The sequence below is a fragment of the Homo sapiens genome, chromosome 20 (genome assembly GCF_000001405.40).
Source record: "Homo sapiens chromosome 20, GRCh38.p14 Primary Assembly".
Lineage (NCBI taxonomy): Eukaryota > Metazoa > Chordata > Mammalia > Primates > Hominidae > Homo > Homo sapiens.
This window is the reverse complement of record NC_000020.11, coordinates 9,424,345-9,436,763: the sequence shown is the minus strand read 5'-3', so window position 1 is coordinate 9,436,763 and position 12,419 is coordinate 9,424,345. Positions and strand designations below refer to the sequence as shown.

The window sequence follows — 12,419 nt, the reverse complement described above, 5'->3', positions numbered from 1 at the left end:
GTAAAGAGAACATTTAAAAACAAAGAAACAATCCACGTGTGCACTGGAATGGGAGAAGGTTGGGATGTAAGGCTGGCAAACAGTGAAAAATCAATAATAAACGCCATTTTGGCTGGGCATGGTGGCTCACGCCAGTAATTTCAATGCTTTGGCAGGTCAAGGTGGGAGGATTGCTTGAGGCCAAGAGTTTGACACCAACCTAGGCAACAGAGTGAGACCCTGTCTTGACAAAAAAAGTAAAAAAATTAGCCAGGCACAGTGGCATGCATCTGTAGTCCCAACTGCTGAGGAGGCTGAGGTGGAAGGATGGCTTGAGCCCAGAAGTTTAAGTTTATAGTCAGCTATGATCACACTACTGCACTCCAGCCTGGGAAACAGAGCGAGATCCTATCTGTTAAAAAATAAATAATTAAAAATAAAAAGCAATTATCATTAATTCACTGAACTAGGTTAACTGGTATTTCAGTGTATCATAGAAACATCCTGTACAGTACAGTTTGAATATCCCTTATCTGAAATGCTTGAGACCAGAAATGTTTTGGATATCAGATTTTGGAACATTTACATATACATAATGAGGTATCCTGGGGATGGGACCCAAGTCTAAACAGAAAATTCATTTATGTTTTATATACAACTTATACACAGCCTGAAGGTAATTTTATACAATATTTTTAGTAATTTTGTTCATGAAAGAAAGTTTATGTACAGTGAAACTTCAAAAAGCAAAGGTATGACTATCCAATGTCAGCACTCAAAAGGTTTTGAATTTTGGAACTTTTCGGATGTTGCATTTTTCTGATTAGAAATGCTCCACCTACATTTTAAACTTTCCCAAAAGTATAACAAATGTTTTGCATTTTCTTTCTAATGGGGAAGGGGTCCCCAGATGTGAGTTAAGCCACTGATGATGAAGTGGATTTTTCTGATGGCAGTCACATTTTATTAAACATGCCACACTTTTGTAGAAAGTTAACTATTGTTGAATTGATGAGCTCAGTTTTAAAAACCCTCCTTAAATTTGCTAATTCATTACTTTGTCTTGTTTTTGTAAACACTGTTTGATAATCAAACTCCCACAACTTGGCCACCTTTAATCAACCATTTCTACTTACAGTTTCAATGCCCATAGCTCTCATTTGGTCTGCTCTCTTTTCTGTAATTGAGAGAAATTTCTTTGGATCTGATAAAGCATCCACGATATCTAGGGGAAAAAAAAACCCAATGAGCCGTTAATTCTCTGTTTTACTGAAAATATTCATTAAAACTCTGCTTAATAAACTACAATCCTGGATACCTGTTGTGCTTTCTGTTAATAATCTTTTCCTAGGACATAAGACACACTGAGGAAGGCACAGCTAGTTGCAGAAAACAAGAAAGGAGTTAAAAGCAAGGGCCAAAGACCAGATGATTTTTTTATTTAGTTTTTCCTGATACAAAGTTTTTCCTGATATGAAGGAGGCAAAGTGTCAGGACAAACTGAGTGAAGTGTGTGGGTTCTAGACTGTTTCTTCACTTGTGTGTGACTTTCAGCAAGTTGATTAATGTCCCCAGCCTCAGTTTCTTTATCTGGAAATTAGGGTGGATACCACCTGCCCTGCAGAATAATCATGATAATTCAATGAGATGATGAACACAAAAAGTACCTGAGGCAGGTAGGTCTTATTTTTCGATACAGAAGGATAATACATATTCAAAGCCAATTTTGGTTCCATGGTAGACAAAATGAAATCTTTCTCTAGTGTTTTCTCAGGTATAACTTGAACTTAAAAGATAGTAGAATTTAATATTTTATATTAATGCCATTTGAAGATTTCCAAGTACTTTCAGAGTTTCATATAATCGTGCACAATTTACTCATACTATAGAAGGCAAAATTATTCTTGTTAACTTGAAACCATCCATAATTTATACATTTTAAATACTGTGTAAGTTTATAAAGTTTTCCCTAACAGAATCGCCTTCCTAATTACAATCTTAGGATAATTCTTAAGATAACATTCTCAGTACACGGGGCACATAATTCTCTAGGTTTCAATTTTTTTTTCTTTTCCTTTTTATAACAGAAAATAACATTTGCACATGGTTGGCCGGACGCAGTAGCTCACGCCGGTAATCCCAGTACTTTGGGAACACGAGAAGGGTGGATCACCTGAGGTCACGAGTTCAAGACCAGCCTAGGCAACATGGTGAAACCCCGTCTTTACTAAAAATACAAAAATTAGCTGGGCTTGGTGGCGCATGCCTGTAATCTCAGCTACTTGAGAAGCTGAGGCAGGAGAGTCACTTGAACCCAGGAGGCGGAGGTTGCAGTGAGCAGAGATCGTGCCAATGTACTCCAGGCTGGGTGACAGAGTGAGACTCCGTCTCAGAAAAAAATAATAATAAACAAATAAAATAAAATAACATCTGCACATGGTAAACATTCAAATATATAAAATGAAAAGTGAAAACTTTCTCTCCTGCCAATCCTACGCCCAGAAGGTAACTATTATTATCCATTTCTTGTATCCTTTCTGATATTTTTTAAAACTCCAAATGGGTTCATAGTTTTCTGCACCATTTTTTAATGTCAAATATCTTGGGAAACATTCTCATATTGGCAATATAGCTCTAATACATTAATTATAAGGGTTGCTTAAACTTTCCATTCTCTGAATGGTGATAATTTCTTTAACCAGTTCCTATTGGTAGACAGCTTGTCCTTCCAGTTCTTTGCTATTAAAGTATTGTAGTGAATGTCTTTGAACATTTCGTAGCATACCTCTACATATATTTACAGAATAGATTCTTAGAAGTTAGAATGATGGGTAAGAGTATTTGTCCTATGGTAGTTATTGCCAAATTGCACTCCACCGAAATTGCATCAATTTATTCTCCCACCAGTGGCATGTGAGAAGGTCTGTTTTTATCACCCATGATCCCTAAGAACTCTTTGCCTCTCAACAACAGCTGTGGAAAAATTAGTTCTTAAATCTTGCTCAGGAAAAAAAAATCACAGACAATTATTTTTGGCAAGTTAATATTCTAGGAATTTATTTATATATTTTAAACTCTTTGTTACAAAACATTTCAAGTATACACAAAAGTGGAGAGAACAGTACAATAACCCCTCATATATTTATGATGATAACCCAACAATTATAAACATTTGTTTGCCACATTTCCTTTATATTCCTTTCATTTTTTCTCTTTCCTCTCTATTGAAATATTTTAAGGTGAATTCCATATATCAGAACATTTAATTCCTAATAACTTGTCTCTGCAGCTCTAAATTTAATTTGGAGCCAACCATCCCAATGCTATATCCAACAAAATTGGCGTAATTCTTTACTATGATATAATACACAGCCCATCTTAATATTTCCCCTATTTATAGTTACATTGCTTGAATCAAGGTACCAGATTTCACACTATGTCTCTGATAATTATGTCTCTTAAGTCAATTTTAGTCTAAAGCAATCCCTCTTGACATCTTTCTTTAAGGATACTTCTAGGAGGTGCTGTGACTTTATATGCATCACATTGAGGGACATAAAGGCTGGTTGTCCCATTTGTGACGCTAAGTTCCTCAAGTAGGCTCAGGAGGTGGCAGCTTGCAGGAGGTGGCAACTCCATCTCTGCATTCATACTGCTGCTATCTCTCTTCACAGCAATTCGGTGATTCTCATGGCAATACTTTGGCTCCCAACATTACTTTTAGAGGTGCTTGCAGGAGGTGGCAACTCGATCTCTGCATTCATACTGCTGCTATCTCTCTTCACAACAATTCGGTGATTCTCATGGCAATACTTTGGCTCCCAACATTACTTTTAGTGGTGCTGATGGTGCTGACATCTCTCTTCAGTCAGTAGTGTCTGGAGGAGACACAGGGTCTACCTCCATTGCTTAGAGAGGAAATGCAATGTTCAGAAGACTCCTCTGATGCCAATTCATGTCTTTCTACTCAGCATCCTTCTGCCCTGTGGTCACTGGTCAACCATGAGGTGATGCTGTGTTAGGAGAACCACATGGCTTTCTCATCGTCATCAGGATGCCATGAAGTGGGCATGATTAAGGTCCTTCAGCACATGAAGACACAATTTGACCAACCTAGACTTTTAGCACAACTCTTTGTGCCTGACTCCCAAATGCCTCTTCTTGCCACTTGTCCACACCATTATGAGGCAGAGTGAGGTTTAACTTGTATCCATTAAACTTTTCTGCCCTTCTTTGGAGGAGATATACTTGGTCTATGCTTCTCTGTACATTCTCACTTCAGATATGTTTTGCCAAGCATCCAATCCCAATGGCACATTTCAGTGATAACACACAGGACTGGGTGGTTAGGAAACAAATACTCGCTAATTTTTAATAACATATAATCAGTCTGGGGGCCTGAAGAGAGTATATGGCATTTTTGAGGAGTAACTGGTAGTCTTTTCCATAGGAATAACAGATAATACTTTAATTACTTAAAACAAGTTACAGAATCAATAAAGCAAGACATTAAAGAATCAATAAAGCAAGATATTAAATGATCCATCTATCCTAACCAAGCATTTTTGTATATTTTTGTGTCATTTTTGCACATGAATACATATTTTCCATGGTTTATTAGAAGTTATATAACCTGCATTTTCATTGATGCATATATTATATCGGCATAGTTCTGAAAATTATTTTTAGTAAATGGGAAATGTCACATTGATTTTCTATATCAAACTATTCCCCACTGGTAGATACTTAGATGGGCTTTCAACTTTTCTATAAAAAGATGAATTTAGGAATATCTTAGTGCAAAAAATGATTTCTTTGTCATTTTATCAGAAAGTTAATGGTTTAGTTAAATAATATAGCACTTTATATAACTCATATGCCTGATAGGCATTCCTAACAAAATTTATTCTTAATAAGCTTTAAAATAGTTATTGAAGAATGATGAATGGAAGGAGTACTAAGAAAATAAAGCGGAGGCCGGTCACGGTGGCTCATGCCTGTAATCCCAGTACTTTGGGAGGCTGAGGTGGGTGGATCATTTGAGGTCAAGAATTTAAGATCAGCCTGGTCAACATGGTGAAATCCTATCTTTACTAAAAATACACACACACACACACACACACACACACACACAAACACACACACACACAAATTGGCCCCGTGTGGTGGTGCACACCTGTAATCCCAGCTACTCGGGAGGCTGAGGCAGGAGAATTGCTTGAACCTGGCAAGTGGAGGTTGCAGTAAGCTGAGATCATGCCACTGCACTGCAGCCTGGGCGACAGAGCAAGACTCTGTCTCATAAAGAATAAAAAATAAAAATTAAAAGCAGAATTAAGAGGGTGGAGTAGGTTGAATAGTGTCCACCAAAACTCCTGTCTACCTAGAACTTCAGAACGTGATGTTATTTATAAACAGGGTCTTTGCTTAGGTTTTAGAAGAGGACTGAAATGAGATCCTACTAGATCAGGGTGGGCCCTAAATCCAATCACTAGTGTCGCTATAAGAAGGGAGAGAACATGGAGTCACAGGGAAGAAGGCCATGTGACAACAGAGGCAGAGACTGGAGTGGTGCATCTTCAAGCCAAGGAATGCCAAGGACTGTCTGAAGCCACCAGAAGCCAGAAAGAGGCAAGGAAGGATTCTTCCCGAGAGCCTTCAGAGAGGGCATGGCCCTGCCCACCACTTAGTCTCAGGCTTCTAGCCTCCATAAATCTCTGCTGTTTTAAACCACCCAGTCTGTGGTTATTTGTTACAGTAGTTCTAGGAAACTAGGGCAGAGGGAGAACAAGACAACTGTACATTCGATTGCCAACAGTAATTGAGGGGAAAAAAATTCACTACTTAAATTCTTGGGTATGCATCTTCCATAAAAAGTCATGTGCTTAAGTGTACAAGGCAGGCTTTATCATTAAGACTATGGAGGGTCCAGCAGCCCCTGGAGACCTCCTGCTAGAATACCAGTGGTTTTCCTCCTGTTTATGCAGCAATGTCTTGGTCTCAGCTTCTAGGGCTGATTCTACACAATCCTGACCTAGCTGAATCCACATATTGTCTTGTTTGTCACAGGCAAGCTATCTGAGATGCTCTCATCAGCCATCTGCTATCGGATTATGTAGATGTCACCTAAATGATACAACAAAATCGGAGCCTGCTGAAGATTTATCCATTAGCTGGATAAATATCATTACTTAACTCTATCTTGAATTACCAATATTAACAAATCTAGACACTATTAGGGACATATGATGCCAGATCCTAACATGCTGCCTTATTTGGTCTTATTTTTTGAAACGTCTTATTTGAGATGTTTTATTTGCAGTTAGAGGCTGCCTTTACCTTTAAGAAATTACAATATACAATAATAATGCAATATAATGTTCTTGAACAAAATGCAACAAAAATATGAAAAGTGTAAAGTAAGGTTTGTTCAAATTAAATCAGATAAGACAAAAAAGAGATTACAAAAGGACTAAATGCCTTGAGCAAGGCTAAAGTTAGCAGGCTATTTGAAATGGATGCTTCATTCCTAGCAATTTCATATAACAAACTAGATACTTCTAGGATAAGCATGCCCAACCCATGGCCCACAGGCCACATGTGGCCCAGGATGGCTTTGAATGTGGCCCAACACGAATTTGTAAACTTTCCTAAAACATGAGAATTATGCACAAACTTTTTTTATTTTTATTTTTTAAATTTTATTTATTTATTTATTTATTTTTATAGCTCATCAGCTATCGTTAGTGTTAGTATATTTTATTTGTGGCTCAAGACAATTCTTATTCTTCCAATGTGGCCCAAGGAAGCCAAAAGATTGGATACCCCTTTCTAGGATGTCTAATTGGGTCATGTGGTGGCAGGTGTTCATTCTGTAGCTGGAGTTATAGAACAATGCAGAAGAATGGCATTTGAATACCTGGGACAGTTCTGACAAAAATTCTCTGCCAAAGTGCAAAGGGCTCAGCATTAGGGAGCCAAGGCCTGCCTTGGCATCTTTAAGATAATTTTTCATTGTAATTCAGTTTCTCCACTGGCCAGAGGCATATATATGTGAGACATATGGATAGGTAGATACGAAGAGTGCTGCATATCAAAAAAGGAAATTGATTTTTAATAGCCACATTTAAAATAATCTGTAATCAGAGAATGAAAAGCTCTACCTCAAATATCTCATACTTACCTACTTGTGTAACTGTACTTGAAAAATGGTATTTATTTTTTCCTTGCCTCAGCCCAGAAAAATAACTTGAGGAAGTGGTTAAATAAATCTGGTATATTCTTGGCCAAAGTTTTGCATATTCAAGTAAACCCAGTATCTTTCTTTGGTGCCAATATGACATTTCACTGGGCTTCCTTCCTTTTATTGGGGAATACTGTGGCTGCCTATTTCCCATTTAGTTTAGGGTTCCACAGGATAAATCACTGTGGCAAGAATTCATTTCCAGTGCTGATCGGCATCCACTGGCAGGTGAGTAGGCCTTGCTGGGGGGAGCCACATTGTACATCTAACAGGGTAGAGATGGATGCATGCAAACTCCTGACTCTGCAGAACCCATGTAGGTGGCCTAAAACACCCTAGATTCTTGGAGGCCACAGCAGGGGCTCCGGAACCTCTCTTTTTAAAAGAAACCAGTCTGCTTTTTCTGATTTGGTTCTTTCATTAAGATTTAACTTAAAGCTCTACTTATGTGTATTTTTAAAAACACCATCTATTTCTGGGCATAATGTCATTTCCATGAAGCTGGTCTCTCCTAGTAAAGACTCTCCATGTAGGCCCTGCTTTTCCCCTCCCTTCCTCCCTGCCATGCTTCCTGACTTTCATATAGAGTTGAAAGCATCAATGTAGGTGTCTCTAAGAATGGAAATGAAGATAGCAATTCCTTAGTACAGACTTCCAGATGCTTATTGGCTTTTCAGGAGAACTCAGTTGATTTTCGTTTGTTTAACCAATGCTTTTCAAATCATTGAGTGCCTCAGTGGTGAGCACTGCCCATGGCACCTACACTCCCCCTCCCCACCCCTATGTGCTCACTCCTGGCCCAGGTTCCCTCCCGTTCCCCTCTACTATTCCTAACTTACCAAGAGGTACAGGCAGAAGAAAAATCCTTTTCCCCTATCAGCTGCAATGTGGTGCTGATAAAGAAAGGCAAATCCCAAGTCTATGATTTTGTCTTAGTCCTTTGGGTTCCTACCAAAAGATTAAGCATTTCTCAAACTGCATTTCCTAGAATGGTAGAAAATACAGTAGGTGCTTGGGCAACAAGATCCTGTGTCAAATAAGATTGGGAAATGCTCATGTTCTCCCCCTCCCCTTGGGCATTCACCATACATCCCAGGAGCCATGCAATAGATAAGCCTGTTTAAATTTGCTTAGTCTAGCAATTTCCAAAGTATTTTACCATAATCCATCCTGCCCCCTTCCCCTCCAGAGCTTTTCTTCTTGAAGTCTGACTAATATTTTCTGTAGTACAGAAAAGGCCACAAGAAAGATATCACTGTGAATATGCAACTGGGTTTTTCAACAAATATTTAATAAAATATGACATTTTAGCACCCTTAAGGAAGAGGACAGATGGAACAAGTTTAAACTGCATCAGGAAGTCCTGAGATTATTTCCCAGGAATGGCATCTTAATTAAGAACATTCTTTCTCTGGAAATATCTGATATAAGAAACAGTCAACTATCTTTGTAAAAATGGTTGGAAAGCAACCCTATGAAAACCCTGGGCAGAGACCCAAGATGTATTTTTAATCATAGGGAAGGTGGAAAGGGGAAATGTACAAAGAAATAGAGGGTCACTTCATCTTCCCTGACATAAAATAGTTGTAGAAGAGGAGGCAAAATTTATGGTTGCAGAAGTAATGATCAGCACTGCCCGAGGAACAAAGCGCTGGGAGGCTCATGAAACACAGCGGGGAGTGACATTTCAATACAATGCTGAGGCTCCATAGATTTCGGAAGCAAAGCATCAACTCTCTTATTTGCTCCCCTCCCTATCACTCAGTAATAATAAAATAAACACAAGTGATAAAACCCACCCAAAGCAACAGTGGGTGAAAAAGAAATACTGACCCTCGTTTCATTGCCATTAGCCCTGGAACTGCTTCCTGTCTCCTACAGCAGTGTCTAACACTGATAAAGCCTTGCAATGGGCAAATGCCATCTACGGTGGCGTTGGCACCCACAGATAAAGCAGCAAAGATAATCCCAGCACTCGGAGTCTCATTGGATTTGACAAAGGAAGAATGCTCCTAGCACCCAATCTAGTACTTCTATTTGTGTATGACAGAGGGAGTAAAAGACAGGGTTGTTTTTCTTTACGTTTTGTAGCAAAATAATATTGAAAAAATTAAGCCAAGTTTTCATGATTCATTCCTAATCATCTGTCCTAAATGTTACTTTTTTTTTTTTTCTGATAGGAGACTGTATTGTTGGACATTTTGCATCTGGGCTGCTTAGAAACAGCCAGGAAGGGTTCAGAACTCATGGTAGCCATCACTGCTCTGTTATTTCTTTGTGTCTTTTGGGAGTTATTTTGTTGTTGTTGTTGTTTTTGGAGACAGAGTCTTGCTCTGTCAACCAGGCTGGAGTGCGGTGGCATGAACTCGGCTCACTTCAACCTCTGCCTCCCAGGTACAATCAATTCTTGTGCCTCAGCCTGCAGAGTAGCTGGGATTACAGGCGTGTGCTACCATGGCAGGCTAATTTTTGCATTTTTAGTAGAGACAGTGTTTTGCCATGTTGGCCAGGCTGGTCTTGAATTCTTGGCCTCATGTGATCCACGCGCCTCGGCCTCCCAAAGTGCTGGGATTACAGGCATGAGCCACCGCGCCTGGCCAGTTTTGAGAGTTTTTATGCTATAGAAATGAGAAGGAGAAGCAGAAGGAGTTGCACTCAAATTCCTAACTCTGTTTCCTCAGCGGCCAAGGAAGAAAACTTCAGTGTTTATCCATAACTAAATTATGGCCGACATAAAATGTAATCCTATACAGCTAATAAAAATATAAAAATATTTCATGACATGGAAACATATTCTAAAAAAAAATTAGAATTCCAAATTAGCAGTATAGTAAGATTTAATTTTATTAAAAATAAAACAGAAAAGGCCAGGCACAGTGGCTCACGTCTGTAATCCCAGCACTTTGGGAGGCCAAGGCAAGTGGATCACCTGAGGTCAGAAGTTCAAGATCAGCCTGGCCAACATGGTGAAACCCCGTCTCTACTAAAAACACAAAATTAGCTGGGCATAGTGGTGCACGCCTGTAGTTCTAGCTATCGGGAGGCTGAGACAGGAGAATCGCCTGAACATGGGAGATGGAGGTTGCAGTGAGCCGAGATTGTGTCACTGCACTCCAGCCTGGGTGACAAGAGCAAAACTCCGTCTCAAATAAATAAATAAACAAACAGGAAAAAAAGAGACTGGAAGTAAACAATAGCTGTCTCTGGGCAGCAGATTTGTGAGTGACCCTCATTTGATCCTCTGTGTTCTCAGAATTGCTCTCTGATACATATTTTAGCTACTTAACTTTTTATAGAATAAACCTGCTATGCATATTTGTGGAAAAAAGTAATGAAAATCCACACTATCTTTCTTTAGCTAAATATAAATCTAATGATGTATATTGATGAGTTTCTTTTTTTTCCTAGGGGAAAAAAAACATTTTTTTTTCTAGAAAATGCTGAGTGTGATGGTGCTGAGCTTCATCTTGAACTTGTTCCTGTGGAATGAAGAGGGAATATCAATACTCCAGGGAACACAGACTCTATAGATTTCCTATCTCACTGGTTCAGCACATAAACACACTGAGATATGAATGTGGGAGGTTGGCTAAACAGGGAAAATATAAGTATATTTTGAATAAGTCAAGAAGCTATAAAGAAGATCAGAGATTTGGAAAAAGACAGTTCTCATATTCTTCTTCTGTTATCTACAGGGAAGTCCCTGACACCGCATAATGTCTGTCCCTGGTTTCTTCACATATAAAATAAATGACCAGAGAATTTTGAATAAATTGTATTTGAATGTCAACTCTGGTTAAGGCATCGACTGCAGAATCTCATCAATGGTACATAGAAATTTCAAACGCTTCTGATAAAAAGTAAGCAGCCACAATGACATGTTAGGAAAGAATACTGGCAGGACTAATATTAAAGAGATTAATTTGGCTAAATACTTAAATACAACATGGGTAATAAGCTACATTGTAAATACAGATGTTTCTGCAGCACAGATCTCCCTATGCTTACATCCATTCTGAACAACTTCATGCTTTTGGATCTCTTTACATAAAGCTCTTGGCATAAAGTAGAAGCTAAACAAATGATTTCTTTCCCTTTTCTATTCGAGTGGCTTAGTTCCCAAGAATGAATTAGAGTTTCAGTGGGAAGTTAACCCATGCAGAGGCAAAACTTCTAAATCTTCCATCATATGGGTTTATACAACTATTTCTAAAATGTATGAGGTATTCCACAGTTCCTGCTTTCTAAGCTCACGTATGTGGAGTATGATTTAACTCATCAGCTGATGCCCCATGGCCACCACCATGCTGTGTTGCAGGGAGGTTTCTGAGGTTTGCCACGGACTGCTGCTCCTAAACCTACCACTTGTCTCCAGTGCCCCTTTCTGATCCTCTTACCCAGCCTCACAGCATCCCTTTCCAGGCTTTTTATGGGTTGTTACCTCTATTACTGTATGTTGTAGCTTCTAATGTGCTTCCTTTTTTTTTTTTATGAAAGACAAAGGAGAAGGAGGAAGGAGCCTGGACTATGAATTTTGGGATGGAAAAATCCTCATGGCTTATTTTAATTTTTGACTCTGATATTAGACTGGTAAAGTTGTGGTTTAGTTGCAGAAAATCTGCCCTCCACAGAAGCATGCACTACTAAAAACAAACAGCAAAATTATCCCATATTCCCCAGATAAAATAGTGATGTGTTCCAGTGAAGTATAGAAATTATATCTGTGTCTACAGACACCCCGCCCACCCCCATGCGCTCATACATTTCTGAGCCTTGCTATATCATGTACTCTAATGATAAGCACCTCACAATAATGCTATGAGGGAGGTAGTTATTATTATCTTCACTTTGCAGGGGAGGAAATGAGGGGTTTGAGAGGTTACATCCTCTTCCCAAGATCACCCTGCCAGCAGTGGAGAGTAAGGATTTGAACCCTTGGCTAATCGGATGCCATCATCCTGCTGTACTATTTCCTTATGGTTCAACAGGCTGACAATATAGAGGATCTTTGCTTTCTTTTAATGTATTGGCTTAGATGGAGGCCATAAAAAGTTAACATGTTTGCATGTAAGCAAAATTCTATGACTTAATCTAGCTTTGGATTCCTCCCATTGATTACCTTAAAGCATATGGATTGATGACTAGGATTTTTTATGAAATTGAACTTTCTTGTGGATTTGGAAGAAAATTCAGGCAT

General features: G+C 38.8%; 1 protein-coding gene across 20 annotated transcripts in view; it reads right to left on the bottom strand.

The window, feature by feature from the left end:
* Positions 1–12,419, bottom strand: part of PLCB4 (phospholipase C beta 4) — a 412,131-nt gene that overhangs the window by 44,045 nt on the left and 355,667 nt on the right. For all 20 annotated transcript variants that reach the window (XM_024451898.2, NM_001377134.2, XM_005260724.3 and 17 more), the window contains one exon: positions 1,116–1,204. In XM_024451898.2, coding sequence (XP_024307666.1) covers positions 1,116–1,204 — 89 coding nt within the window. The remainder of the gene's footprint in view (positions 1–1,115; positions 1,205–12,419) is intronic.